The sequence below is a fragment of the Homo sapiens genome, chromosome 20, assembly GCF_000001405.40.
Source record: "Homo sapiens chromosome 20, GRCh38.p14 Primary Assembly".
In the NCBI taxonomy this organism is placed as follows: domain Eukaryota; kingdom Metazoa; phylum Chordata; class Mammalia; order Primates; family Hominidae; genus Homo; species Homo sapiens.
In genome coordinates, this window is record NC_000020.11 from 58,586,392 (window position 1) to 58,601,677 (window position 15,286).

At 48.5% G+C, this 15,286-nt stretch overlaps 1 long non-coding RNA gene across 1 annotated transcript in view, besides 1 other annotated feature; it reads left to right on the forward strand.

Moving 5' to 3' along the window:
* The window catches only part of APCDD1L-DT (APCDD1L divergent transcript), a 104,514-nt gene that overhangs the window by 71,013 nt on the left and 18,215 nt on the right, over nucleotides 1-15,286 (forward strand). The gene's annotated exons all lie outside the window — the stretch shown is intronic.
* Nucleotides 7,940-8,722: an enhancer, noted in NCBI's record as "H3K4me1 hESC enhancer chr20:57169387-57170169 (GRCh37/hg19 assembly coordinates)". NCBI's record gives its function as "activates a minimal SCP1, AML or CMV promoter by ChIP-STARR-seq in primed H9 embryonic stem cells {active_cell/tissue: H9 hESC(primed)}" and the evidence as "EXISTENCE:reporter gene assay evidence [ECO:0000049][PMID:30033119]".

A 15,286-nucleotide genomic window follows, 5' to 3' on the forward strand; every position in this document is an offset into this window, starting at 1 on the left:
CCACAGTGGTGGGCCAATGCTACCCTCCATGGAACTTGGTTTGTTACAGCCTTCTTGCTCATCCCCCTTCCTCTCCCAGGCCCATTTCCCACTCCCCTTCTGGTCCCTTCCATAAGGGCTGCCTCCCAAAGCGCTCTCCCACCATTCTCATCTCAGGGCTTGCTTCTGGGGACTCAATTATAGACAGTGATGCCTCAGGCCAAGTATTAAATGCAGCTTTAAGCAAAGTTAGACAGCTGGCTATGCTGCAGGACTTGTCAGAGCATTGATTCTACGTATGCATGGTGGTGCTCCAAGAGGAGGTAGTAGGAGGCGGCATGGTGTGCATAGTTATCTGCCCAGAGACAGCAGTCACCCTGGAGCACCTCCAGGGAGGATCACCCCCCACATCCACACATAGAGCGTACTTCGGATACTGTGCTGCATGGTGGGCTGTGGGCTGGAACTCTGGGAAAAGCCTCTATGGCCAAGGTCACAGAGAGTAAATAGAAAGTTGGCATTTGGAATTCAGATGTGGGTCTTTGGACTCCAAAGCCCACACCATCAACAACCCCACCTCCCCGGGTCTGGAGTCTGCAGCAGACACCTCCGTGGCTCCCAATGTGCCCATCACAGCCATTCTTGGGACACTGCACCTATCAGTTCACTTGTAAGCCACCAGCCTGGGAGGCATCTGGGTCTCCAGTCTTTCCATGCCCAGACCCTAGGCCAGTAGGTGCTTGCTGAGTGAGGTTGGAAGGTTTGAGGGACCAAGTACTGCCCCTGGGCTGGGCTCTGGCCGTGCCCCAGTCCACCTCTCCCCTCGGGCTGTAGGCATGGAGAAGGACCTCTTGCTGAAGCCCTCCTGCTCCTCACCCCATCCTGGACCTCCCTGGGCAGCTACTCTGAGTGTGTGTGGTGGGATGGTAGGGGGAACGGAGGATCTGGGACAAGCATCATTTCACTCCCAGTTACATTGTATTATCCAAATTATCCGTGGTCATTGACAACAACATTGAAGGTACAGATCACAAATCAAAATCACCCGAACTCCTTGCACAGCAGCCATGCTCACGTTCTTGGCTTTTGCTACACAAATGGGCACAACATTCCAGCCCCCATTCGCTGAGGGCTGTGGCTGTGTCTCCACCACAGCCCTGAAAGAGGGATTCGGGCACCAGGAAGAGCTAAGCACTCACCCAGCTCACAAAGTTGGGGGCCAGGTTGGAAACCAGACAGTCTCACTCCGGAGGTCGACTCCCCCTGCCCAGCTTGTCCCCATGTTTATTTCAGAAAGTCTTAAACATATGTAAAAGGAGATGGAGTCGTCCGACGAGGCTCCCTGCACCAGCACCCATCTGTGACAGCCATCCATGCCTGCCATGCCGGGGTCTTCTCAGCCCACATGGTCAGGAGCCCATCCCAGACCTCACAGCATTTCTCTAGAAAATAGTTCAGTCAGTGTCTCTCAGAACGTGCACTCTGAAGACTCTGCTATCCTGGCCCAGATAAATAAAATCTCTCTAGAAAATCTCTCTACGAGAATGTAAGCTCCATGAGAGCTGTATCCTCGAGACATAGGACAGGACAGTGCCTGGTGCAGAGGAGAGGCACAATAAATATTTTCTGAATTTCCATCTATCTATCTATCACCTATCCATCATCTATTATCTATCATCTATCAATCATCTATCTCCTATCTACCATCTCTCTATCATTTCTCTATCTACCATCTATCTCCTATCTACCATCTATCTTTCTATCTTTCTATCGTCTATCAGTCATTTATTATCTATCATTTATCTATCAATCATCTATCATCTATCTACTCTGTCTACCATCTATCATTGACCTATCTACCATCTATCTATCATCTATCAATCATCTATTATCTATCATTTATATATCAATCCTCTATCTGTTATCTATGTACTATCTACCCTTTATCTACCTATCATTTATCTATCTACCTACCATCTACCTACTGTCATCCATCTGTCACCTATCTTTCTATCTCTCTATCATATGTCAATAATCTATTATCCAGGCCAGGCGCAGTGGCTCATGCCTGTAATCCCAGCACTTTGGGAGGCCGAGGCAGGCAGATCACTTGAGGCCAGGAGCTCAAGACCAGCCTGGGCAACATGGTGAAACTCCATCTCTACTAAAAATACAAAAATTAGCCAGGCGTGGTGGCACATGCCTGTAATCCCAGCTACTCAGGAGGCTGAGGCAGAAGAATCACTTGAACCCGGGAGGTGGAGCTTGCAGTGAGCCGAGATCGTACCACTGCACTCCAGCCTAAGCGACAGAGTGAGACTCCATCTCAAAAAAATAAATAAATAAAATAAATAAATAATAATCTATTATCTATCTTTTCCTATCATTTATCTGTCAATTATCTATCTTCTATACGCTATCTATTTTGTATGAAAATGAGATTCTTCTAAACCTACTGTTTCATGACTTTCTGCTTTCCCCTGACAATTTATTATAATCACTGTTCCTTCTCAATAAATATGAGCCTCCTATGCCACCGTTTTAACTGCCTGCACAGTATTACATTGTGTGAATGTATTCTCATTTGTTTGACCTATTTTCCTTGGGACGTTTAAGTTGTTTCCAATTTTTCATTATTGTAAACAATGCCGCAGTGAATATCCCTGTTTATGGGCCCTTGGGAATGTCCACAATGATTTCTTTAGAACCAATTCTTGGAAGCAGAAGGGCTGGGTCAAAGATTATGTGTCTTTAAAAGATGTATTTCATATTTTAAAAAACATTTTTGATGGATCTTCACGCTGAGTGGTAACTTTCTTCAAAAAACAGTGACCCCCATTGGATTGTTTTTACCTTGAATCCCGTTTGAGAAATAGATGCAGAAACAGAAGCTGTGGCAGAGGCGGGTGGCGAGGGTCCTGTTAGCTGATGGCTTTGCCCTGGCAGCACAGACTGGGCGGGAGCACCCTCAGCAGCGATGTCCAGCCTTGTGATGGGCACCCCTGTGATTGTTGTCTAGTGCTCACATCGCAACCCCACTCAGCTCCCTCTTGCCGCCTGGAGGGCCATCACCCACCTTTTACTTTGAACTTTTTGGAGTCTCTGTGTTGCCAAACAGCCCCTCTGTTCTGGGTCTCCTGACTTGTGTGGTCCCTGGACTGGGGCAGGACCCAAGTCTTTCCTCTCTGGGTCAGCTGTGGGCCATATACCAAGTGGTATAATAAGACCAGGAGCTTCTGGAATTGGGCAACCTGGCATGGAGTCTCAACATTACCATGTACTAGCTGTGATGCCTCAGGCAAATTACTTAACCTCTCTGAACTTCAGGGCACAATTCCCATATGCCCTAGGACTACTGGTAGGGTAGGGGAATGAGGTCCAAGGCACTCCAGAGGCCCTTGCTGCATGGCAGAACATCTGTGGAGCTAACTGTAGGGCTCAGCTCTGAGCGCTTTGTCTACATGTGCTCATCCTGAGGCCAAGGGAAAGCATTTGGGGCTCTGGGGACTGGCGTCAAATCGCCCTCCCTGCCCAGAGCTGTAAACTGTGGAGCTGGGGATCCTGTCCTCCTGGTTTGTACCATAGCCCCAGTGCCTAGCAGATGCTGAATACAGAGCCAGTGTGCAAAAAGTGTCTATGGGACGAGTGAATAGATGAAAAACTGCCCAAAGCCCTGGGGACAAACCCTTCAATCTGACGGTATCTCCCTGGAGAGACACGTGAGGCCTGGCTTTGTCTCACAGTAACACTGGAAGAGAAATACAGCAAGAAGGGTCCAAGCCTGGTGGAAAAAAGGGTGATTTCTTTTTTACAAAAAGATGCCAGTTGAGACTATTGGGACAAGAGAGAGAAAGAGAGAGAGAGAGAGAGAGAGAGAGAGAGAGAGAGAGAGAGAGAGAAGAGGAATGAGAGAGCAGGTTTCTGGGCAGCCAGAGAATCAACACAGCCTGCAAGAGAGAATCTGTTCCTCCTGGGTTGCTAGGCAAAGGGCTATGGACAGAATCGATTGGTCTTTGGGAGCCGGCAGTGTTTATGCAGCTCGAGGCTGGAGAGGGGCAGAAATGGCCCGCAGAGGTGCCCGAGGCGTCCATGGGATGTCTTCGTGGAGGTGGAAAGAAAAGAGAGCTGGGCAGAAATCCTGGCTCTCAGCGTGGGCCATGGGGCAAGGCACATCCCTTGCCAGTGCCTCCGTGTGCTCAGTTGCTGTGGTTACTGTTATTGGAAGGAACACATCTTCATCTGTAAAATGGGGCAGCGACCCCGGTGCCCAACGCAGGGTGCTCACAGCACCTGACATCTTGATGCTGAGAGCTTAGTAGGCACTTTGCGGGTTTTAATTATTGCACTCCCTTCCCCCATTCCCTCCAAAAGTTATTGACTACTGTGCAAACCCAGACCCTGGCTTTCCATAGTAGCTTTCACTAACTATGTGTGGAATGAATGAGTGAATGAATATATGAATGAATGAGTTGTACCCGTGCCAGGCAGCTGCTGGTCACCGCGTTAAGCTGGAGCATTAAACATGCATTAAAACCAAAGGCTTGGAACTCAAAGCAACTTGCACTCAAATCCCAGGTGGGTCACTTCACTGCTGTGTCTCTTCACCCCTGATACCCTCGTGTGGGAAAAGGGGAAGACACTGCCACCCCTCCCAGGCTGGGCCGAGAACTGAGATGTTTTGTAAAGTGCTTAGCCAAGTGCCCAGCACAGGGCAAATTATCAAAGGCTCAAAAACGACCATCAGCTGTGCTGTGGCTGTTGTCATTATGGGCTAAGAAGGGGCTTTGGTGGTGGTTCAGGAAATGAAGAAAGGGCTGGGCTTCTCCGGCTGTGCTATCATAGCCAGCATTCACACTTCGTGCTCATCAAGGGGCCTTTCTTCCACACCTCTGCGTGTCTGTGGTTGTGGAACTCCAGCAGCCCTCTGAAGTGGGGGGCTGCAGGGAGTACACCCATTTTACAGACGAGGACAGAGAGGCTTGCAAGGGAAGTGCTGTGCTCCAGCCTGCAATAATCACTTAGCATAGAACAACTTGTTCATTCACCCGACTTGAATTGTGCTTCTACCATGCCCTGGGCTTGCATCATTCCATCCTCCCAACAGCCACTCGAGGTAGGTGCTATTATGAGCCTCATTTGTACATGAGAAACTGAGACCAAGGCCAGCACAACCAGGTGGCCTGATTCAGTGCTTCATGGCCAGGAGGGGCTCTCCATGTACTGTGCGGGGCTGGAGAGCAAGGTGCAACTTCCTCTCTCACTTTCCAAGGCACCCCACTGTCAGCCTGCAGCCCTCCAGACCCCCAGACCCTGCTAGTGTCCACAGGAGTCAGACAGAGATGCCAGACAGGCCCAGAGGCCTGAAGTGGAGACTCTAGTTGGCTGGGTAATGGAACCCCAGTGATGTCCACAGGTAACATCTGGAGCCTGTGAATGTGTCATCTTACAGGGCAAAAGAGGCTCTCAGATGTCATCTGAATGTTGAGACAGGGATCATTTGGATGATCTGGTGGGCTCAATGCCATGACAATGTGAGGGAGGCAGGAGGTCGGAATCAGAAAAGTAGATTCTGTCAGGGTTGACACTGCCGACTCTGAAGGTGGAGGAAGGGGCCAGCAGCTGAGGAATGCAGGGACCTCTGGAAGCTGGGAACGGCAAGGAGATGGATTCTCCCCTAGAGCGTCCCCAAGGAAAGTGGCCTTGTGGACATCTTAGTTCACGATTTCTGACTTCCGGAACTGTCAGAAAAGGAATTTGTACTGCTGTAGCCCATTGAGTTTGTGGAAATTTGTTACATCAGCAAGAGGAAACGAATACAAACTCCATTTGCAAAACTAATACTATGCTGTGACACCACAGGGCACGTTTTCCACTATGCTTTCAGGGCTGCTGGAGGAGCAGTAGGCGTGAGGATACAAACTGCGGCTACCTGGGCTGAGCTGGCATCTCTGGGGCCATGGTGGAGCCACCGTCCTGATTCGAGCCCTGTCTGCTGGTTTCATGGCACCAGCCAGCAGCTAACAGCAGCAGAAACTGCCCGCAGCACCACCTTCCACCCTGTGCACTTCCAGAGTGACAAAGGCATGGCGGCTATGTGAAAAAGGAGGCAGAGAAACCAGTGAAGAGCAAGGGTCTTGCCTAGAGCTGCTCAAAGCTTCCCTTTGAAGAGCCAGGAGGACAAACGGGGCTGCTGGCTGGATGGCACTCATTAGCAGTCAGTGTGCTGAGAGGGGTGGACCGTGATGAAATGAGTGGGCCCCGGGGTGAGATGAGGGAAGATGGCACATCAGGAGATGAGCCCCTGTCCCTGCAGTCTTCTCTGTCCCCCTCACTGTACCTGCTTTTCCACCTTTGCATCCACCACAGCATTTAGCTTGCCCACTGCAAACGTCATTCTTTCTTGGGCATGTCATTGATTTTCTAGTGGGATTGGTGGTGCTTCAAACCAATTGTCTCTTTGCCCCCTGGTTAAGCAGACAGAGGACAGGCTTGGGAGCCAGGGGGACCCGCATTGTAGTCTCAGCTCTGTCTTCTAGTTTTGTGGCTTGGAGCAAGCCTCTCAGCCTCACTCTGGCAGCCGTGAGCCCTCCTTGAGGGTTACTGGGGGAGATTCGGTCTCCCGGGTCATCTGGATGCAAGCGAGGCCATGTTTACCATGGTGTCCCCAGCACCTGGCTCGTGGGAAGCACCTTCTAGATGTTTGCTGAATGAAGGAGGCACAGGGGTAGGTGCAGGTCTTAGTACAGTGCCAGGCACAAACCCAACTCCGGACCACAGTGTGGGAATGAAGAGACAGCTAAGGTCCCACCCCCTCCACCCTTCCAGCCTTCTTCCTCCTTCCAGCCTTCTTCTTCACACTGGAGAAGCTTGTTCTTGACTGCCTACATGTTGACACTTTTTAGTAGTCTTTCAAAATTGTCATCTCCGTAATAATTTTCGAAAAACATCTTTGGAAGTTGGGCCTTTGACATCCAGGAATGCCATGTAGGCGCCTTTTATATTCTGTAACCCGGGGGCATTTCTTATCTTCCCTGCCACCTGGGAAGCTTGGCAAAAACAGAGGCACTCAAGTTTGCCTCTGTTCCTGTGCGGTGCTTGGCTTTGAGAACCTGTGTTGATGCATGAATGATGGATGGATGAAGAAGGGATGGATGGATGGATGGATGGAGTCAAGATGTGTGTGATAAATGAATGAATGAATGGATAGGAGATGAAGAGTGAGCTCTGGTCTTTTCTGTAGCTCAAATGGTCTTGGAGAGGTTATGTTCCATGGCTGGCATTTTCTAAAGCATATTCCGTGGATTAGCAGTTCTGCCAGACATTCACAGGTGTTATCTGAGAAATGTTAAAAAGGGACTGGGAGCGGGGGGCGGTGCTTCCTGTGGAATAATTTGGGAAATGATGGTGTTCAACAAAGTTAAACAGGTTTCCCTCTGACAGGACTTCTCAGAGCCTTTACTATGCCAACATGCTTTGCAAATTCCCCAAAGGAGTGTAGATTCGGTCGTTTTCTCCAGTATATAAACTATGGGGTTCATATTTCGAGGATGGGTTCGGCAGATCAGGCTGGTGGGAAAACTCTTCCTGGGGGAGGTTGTTGTGAGGAGGAAGGAAACTTCTCCTGGCAGTGGGGTGCCCGATGGGAACAGTGCAAAGGGCTGTGCTGCCCATGCCCAGGCTGCTGGCTCAGCCCCAGGCTGGTCGGCAGCAGGTTCTGGGAAGGACAGCCTTGACTTTGTCCTGAAGCAGGCAATCTGCTTGTCAGACACACTCGGTGTCTTGCAGGAGCGAGGAGTGGTGGTGTTATTGTTGTTGTCAGTCAGCAATTCTCTGCTTTTATTCAGGGAGAACAAAACGACACCGCCGGCTTTTATTTTTTCAGCTTTCGCACCCACTGGATCCATGCCACAGGCCATCGTTCTTCCCCAGAAAGTGCTTGTCGAGGGTTAATCCATAAGGTCACTTGAAAACGAAGCCATTATTCCCTTCTTAAAGGTTAATGTGTTTTTTCCGGGAGTGTGTGAGTGGAAATTTCAAGTATTCCACATTCTTCATTTAGCTGGGTAAAGTCCTGAGCTCTTCTGGAAAAATGAGCCCATGGAAAGCAAGACTGGGAGCCTCCAGCAGGAGAAAGCAGGGCAGTGGGGGTGGCTGTGCCCCCCTGCCTCCCAGCCAGGTATGTCACGGCCTGCAGAACGGGAATCCCAGGGGGTCTCCGGGAGTTTGCCAGCCACGCTGGTCCTCTTTGCAACCTCCTCTACCTCCCCACTCCCATGTCTGTGCCCTTAGTTCGAAATGGATCAGAAGGCTGTGTCTCAGGCCAGACACGGTGGCTCACACCTGTAATCCCAGCACTTGGGGAGGCCGAGGTGGGTGGATCACTTTAGGCCAGGAGTTCGAGACCAGCCTGGACAACATGGCAAAACTCCGTCTCTACTAAAACTATAGAAGAAAATTAGCCAGGCATGGTGGGCGCGCCTGCAATCCCAGCTGCTCGGGAGCCTTAGGAAGGAGAATCGCTTGAACCTGGGAGGCGGAGGTTGCAGGGAGCCTAGATGATACCATTGCACTCCAGCCCGGGCAACAGAGCAAGACTCTGTCTTAAAAAAAAAAAAAAAAAAGAAAGAAAAAGAAAAAAAAGGAAGGGCTGTGTACCAACTCCACATGCCACCTCGGGTTGGGCATCTGCCCCTGGTGCAAACTACCTTGGTCAGAGGGCAGCATTTTATGTACCACCGCTCTTCCATAGAGGAAAGAGGAAATGGCCCTCAGAGATAGGGGGACTGAGTCAGGCCAGGACCCCCCAAACCCCCAAAGTGAGTCTCCCAGTGCCCTACCCAATCTGCCAGGTATGCACATCTTAGCTGGAGCTACCTCTAGATTTTCTTCACCTTCAATTTGGGACATTCTTTTCTGTTTCAGATAAGAGGTTAGCAAACTATGGCCCACTGGCCAAATCTGGCCTGCACCTACTTTAGTAAATAAAGTTTTATTGGCACCCAGCCATGCCCGTTCATTTACACATTGCCTATGTCGGCTTTTATGTTACACTGACAGACAGTTGCAACAGAGAACTTCTGGCCCACAAAACCAGAAATATTTACTATTTGGCCTTTGAAGAACAAGTTTGCCAATTCCCACTTTAGATGACTATTGTATAATGCTTACTTAGCTCACGGAACTCCTTAGTAAACATCAGGTGTAATGATGATTATTATTACTATCATTATCCAAGATGGTCTTTGTTCATTTAGCAAATACTTACTAAGTGACTGTGCCTGCCAGGCCTGTGCTGAGCTCTGGGAATAAAACGGTAAATAAGATGAGGTCCCTGCCCTCGCAGAGCTCTGAACACTGAGATGGTAGGGTATGCTTTCTCCTACAGATGATCAGAGCACTCAGTCCCAGGTGTTTAGCGCTTGGGGATGTAGGTATGGGGCTGGCAGTGTGGATTTGGTACACACTAAAGAGTCAATGGGATCTCTGGCTCAGGAAACAGAGAGTCTGCTGCGGATGCTGGTACGGACTCGACAGAAATGCCTGGGCTCCAAAATAGCCAAGCACCTGGTAGAGAGAGGGTTGTGGAGGGAGGGGGTCTGGGGGGGTGGTTACAGGGAGAGATGAGGTTGACCAGTTGGCCAATGACCTGAGTCATTCATCCCAGAAGTCTGCCTGGACAAGGAGGATTTTGCATACTACCTTGAATGCCAACAGAAAGGAAGGGTGTCACCCCTACAGCCCAAGGACATACCCAAGAGAGACTCAAGCTGGAGGCTGTTGTTTTCACCCTGCTTCCATCAAATTTGTCTGTGGAATCGACTGCTCTTTTTCCCTTCTTCTAATTTTATAGAATGTATCTGGACACATGATCACCAGAAATAAAGAGCACACTTCCCAACCAGCCTTGCAGCTAGACGTGCTCACATGTAGATCTGGGCCAATGTGATATGAATGGAAGTGGTCTGAGCCATTTCCAAATCATGCTGTTGAAAGGGAAGAGGCAAGCCCATTCCTTGCCCCTTTATTCTTTCCCACTTGCTGGAATGCAGATGTAATGGTCGGAACTGGAGCAGCCATTTTGTATCTTGAATTGGAAGCCGTGTGCATGAGAAATGGAGAAATGAGGTAGAAGGGACCCGGGTCTCTGATGACGGTAGAGCTGCCCCACCGGCTCTGGACTGTGAACTTGGACCTTTATGGGAGAGAGAGAAATGGATTTCTGTGCTGTTTCAGCCATAATTTTTTTAGGACTCTCTGTTGTAGCAGCCAAACCTATAAAATGAGACACCCCCAAGGCACTCCACATAAACATACAACCGAAATGAAAACAGTAGGGTTGCTATGCAAGTAACGCTCCATAGCCTCTTCCTCTGGGAAGTTCCGGGGCTCCATTGCTAGTCTCTGTTTTCTCAGCCTGGTATGCAGACAGCTTTCTCTGACGAGGAGCCCTTCTCCATCTCGCCAGCTGCTGGCTTCCTCACCGCCTCTGAGTCTTCAATATACATTTCTGGATGGAGGAAGAATTGGAGGGAAGCGGGGGGGTGTGTGGCCAGCAAGGCCGATGGAGACTCCCGGTCCTCAGCAGCCCCCTGACCTTTGTCTTGGCCTCCCCCGACTGGTGGATGGGGGCAGCCTGCGAAGAGCCCAGGGTCAGCTGTGCCGAGGGCCGCTGGGAACAAAAGACTGTAAGGGATTGCAGATGGGCCTGCCACGATGTCAGAATAATAATTCATGTCCCCAGTTCATCTGGCCTCTGCCGGGCGGGGCTGCATTTCTCAGTGATCTCAGCCTTCCCCATCCCAGCCCGGTTCCCATAAGAATCACAGGAGTGCTGCCAATTAGAGGCCTGCCATCCGAGGCCCCTCTGAATGTAATCAGCCATAATAACTTAATAGCCTTAAGTTTGGGAGGCTTCTTTTGAAGCTCAGCGTCTTCACCCCCGGTAGCCCAACTAATCTGGAAAAGCGTCTGTCTTGCCCTTCCCACACCAATTATCTTGTCGGTCCTGCTCTCCAGCACTCGGGAACCCGTCTCAGAGGGGCTGCCTCACTGTTTAACTGACAGGCACGGGGCATACTTCAGGCTCCCCAGCTCTCATTCCAGCCAGCATCCCAGCACAGATTCCTGAGAGAAAACGAAGTGCAAAATGCAAAAGGCTTGGCTTGAGCCACGTACAATCACACACGCCAAGAGCAATCAGAGAAAGTACCCACTGGGTGCCAAGGATCGTTTGAAAAGGAGAAGATCCATAGTCAGGGAGAGCATTTAATATGCAATACTTCATGTTGGATTAAGTGTACCACGCAGCTGAAAAAGGAGGCTATAGCTACAAAACAAATGTTCAGATGTCTTCATGGGTGACCTCCAAGTTTCCACCGGCTCCTAATCCCTCTGTCATAATTCAAGCTCGTTGGCCTGGAGTTGACGACTTGGCGGGTGGAATTCCAGGATCTATCAGCGGCTCTCTAAGGCTGCCAGTGCTTCCCTCTGTGGAGCCCAGCACACTGATATGTTTCTTTCGCAGGATGGAAGCCCATGTTTCCATTTGTCCAGGCAGAAAACCACCTCTGAGCTCATCTTCCCAAGAGCTCAATCCATGCAGGAAGGGGATCGGGGAGGGAAGCAGGAGGGTCTGTCACAGGGCAAATGCTATGAACGCCTCTACTTCGGAAAGAACGTATCCTTGGGGAACCCAGGGCAGGGATCTTTTGAGTGATTTTGTCAGAACCAGCCTTTAGCAGTGGACTATCCATCCATCGATCTATCAGCCCACCTACTCATCTCTCCATTCTTTCCTTCATTCATTCATTCATTCAACATTCAACAACCTATCTACCCTCACCCATGCTGCAATCTTAATAGATTATTCAGAGGCATCGAAAACTTATCATATCCTAAATAAAACTTTTGGTTTTCTCCCAGCATGGTAGGCAGCCTCTAAACTGGCTCCCAGCCATGCTGGTAAGTCACGTCCTTGTGCAGTCTCCGCCCCTCCAGTGTGGGCTGGGCCTATTGACTTCCACCCACCCCAGTAGGAGATGGCGAAAATGATGGGAGGCCAGTCCTGAGATTAGGTTGCAGCAAACTCTGACTTCTATTTTGCTCCTTCTCTGGCCCTTCTCATGTACTCACTCTGATGAAGCCAGAGAGGCCCATGTGGCAAGAAGCTGCTGTCTCTGGCCACCAGCCAGCGAGGCCCTGAGGCCTTCAGTCCAACAGCTCCTGAGAGGCGATCCATCTCTCTATTCATCTCTCTCTTTCTTTCTCTCTCTCTTCCTTTTTTCCCCATCTCTCCATCTCTTTATGTATCTCTATATCTATCTATCTGCCTATCTTCTATCAACCTATCATCTATCTGCCTGCCTGTCTGCCTGCTTATCTATCATCTATCTGTCTATCTCTATCTGTCATCTGTCTGCCTATCTATCTGCCTATCTATCTATATGCCTGCCTATCTATTAATATCTATCTATTCCTCTATCTATATATCATCTATCTGTCTGCCTATCTGCCTGTGTATCTATATGCCTGCCTATCTATTTATCTATTAACATCTATCTATCTATCTGCCTTTCTATCTGCCTGCCTATCTATTTGCCTGTCCATCTATCTATCTATCTTCTATCTGCCTGCTTCTCTATCATTCTATCTATCTATCTATCTGCCTATCTAGCTGCCTGTCCATCTATCTGCCTGCCTATTTATCTATTAATATCTATCTGCCTGCCTATTTATCTATTAATATCTATCTATCTACCTGCCTATCTAGCTGCCTGTCCATCTATCTGCCTGCCTATTTATCTATTAATATCTATCTATCTGCCTGCCTATTTATCTATTAATGTCTATCTATCTATCTATCTATCTATCTACCTGCCTATCTAGCTGCCTGTCCGTCTATCTGCCTGCCTATTTATCTATTAATATCTATCTATCTGTCTATCTGATCTATCTAGCTATTATCTATCTGCCTGCCTATCTGCCTGCTTATCTATCTACCTATCTATCTGTCTGTCTGTCCGTCCGTCTGTCTATCTATCTACCTACCTATCTGCCTATCTATCTGGCCTTCTGTGTGTCTCAGCTTATGGCTGCAATGCTCCAATCCCTGTCTTCATCTTCACGTGGCCTTCTGTGTGTCTTCCCCTTTTCTGACTCTTTCAAGGACACTTGTCAGTGGGTAATCCAGGATGATCTCATCTCAGTCTCCTTAAACAAGTCTCAAAAACCCTTTTTCCAAGTAAGGTCCTATTCACCAGTTTCTGAGACATGTCTTTTGGGGGCCACCGTTCAATCCATTGTACTTCCTCTCCACTGTATTTAACCCTTGGGCCTCCCACAATTCAAGCTACACCTGGGAGTACCCAGTAAGCATTTGTTGAATGAACCCGTCCATTAGTTCAGTGGTTCTCAGCTTGCATCAGAATATCCTGGAGCGCTTCTAAAAACACAGATTAGGGCCGGGCATGATGGCTCATACCTCCAACCCCAGCACTTTGGAAGGCCGAGGCAGGAGGATCACTTGAACCTAGGAGTTTGAGGTCAGCCTGGGCAACATAGTGAGACCCCATCTTTAAAAAAATAATAATAATAAATTAAAAATAAAAATAAGAACACATACTGCCGTGTGGATCTCCACACTGAGATTCTGACCCAGCAGGTCTGGAGTGACGCCCGAGAACATGTGTTGCTAAAGGGTTTCCAGGAGGAGCTGCTACTGCTGCTAGGGGACCACCTTTTGAGCGCCCCTGCTTTAGGTCACCTGGTTTTCCAGTCAACCATCAGAGGACCCGAGTCGTGATCAGACTTAACTTCCCCCGCAAAGAGCGGGTAGGCCCCATGCATCTCCAGGTGTCCCTGGTTCTTCTTTGCCAAGGAGACAAAACAATCGGATGACCTAATTCTTCACCCAAAGCCTTGGTATCTCACCCCCTCCCTGGGGGTCACAGCAGCTAACACAGCTGTCTGGCAGAACCGCAGGGTGAAGTCACAGCCAGCACCTGGTGGACAGCCCACTGCTGTGCGTGGAGGCGGAGTCTTCCTGGATTCTCTCAGGTTGTACCTTGGAGGCCACACTTGAGGTGTGTTACAGAGACCAAGGGCTGGTCCAAGTCCACCCCCCAAAATAAAATTTCTGGTTTTGGGGGCACATGTTCCACAGAGGAGAAAAATACAGGAAGAGAATACCTTGAAAATAACACCATTAAGACAGATTTTTAGCCAGGAAGATACGTGGCCCATTAGGGACGTCTCTCAGTGCAGCAGACTTGCCTGGGCCTTTACTTAGTGATTCAATCTTCAGCCCAACAGGGCCTGGGTGTCTTTTTTTTATTCTTTCTTTTTTAAAAAAAATAGCTTCACCGAGTTATAATTCATAAATTATACATTTTACCCATTTAAGCATACGATTCAATGGTTTTTAATATATTTACAGATCCATGCACCTGTCATCACAGTCAATTTTAATAGACTTTCACTTCAAAAGGAAACCGTGTAACATTTAACTATCACAGCTCTATCCTCATGCCCCACACCCAGCCCTAAACAGCCACTAAGCTACCTTTTGCCTCTAAAGATTTCTGTGTTCTGGACTTTGATATACATGGAATCATGCAATATTTGCCTTTTGTGACTGGCTTCTTTTATTTAGCAGAGTATTTTTGAAGTTCATGTTGTAGCAGGTATCAGTACATTATTCTTTTTTATGGCTGAATAATTAATATTCCATTGTCTGCTATACTACGTTTTGTTTATCCATCCATCCGTTGATGGAAATTTGGGTTGTTTTCAGCTATGATAAGTAATGATGCTATAAATGCTCATGTACAAGCTTCTGCTTGAACGTATGTTTTCATTTCTCTTGGGTATATACCTAAGATTGGAATTGCTAGGTCATGTGGTAGCTCTATGTTTAATCATTTGAGAAACTGCTAGACTGTTTTCCAAAGCAGCTGCACCATTTTCAATTCCTACCAGCAGCGCAGGAGGGCTCTAATTTATCCGTATCCTCTGAGAGCCGATGCTTGTTGCCATTGGACTAGATTCTAGCCGTGCTAGTGGGTGTGACATGGTGTCTCATTGTAGTTTTGATTTGCAGTTCCCTAAACAATGGTGAGCATCTTTTCCTATGCTTATTGGCCATTTATAGATCTTCTTTAGAGATATGTCTATTCAGATCCTCTGCTCCTTTTAAAATTGGATTGCCTTTTTTATTATTGGGTTGTACGAGTTATTTATATGTTCTGGATACAAGTCTTTTATCAGACATATCATTTGCAAACAGTTCCTCCCATTTACTGTGTCATCT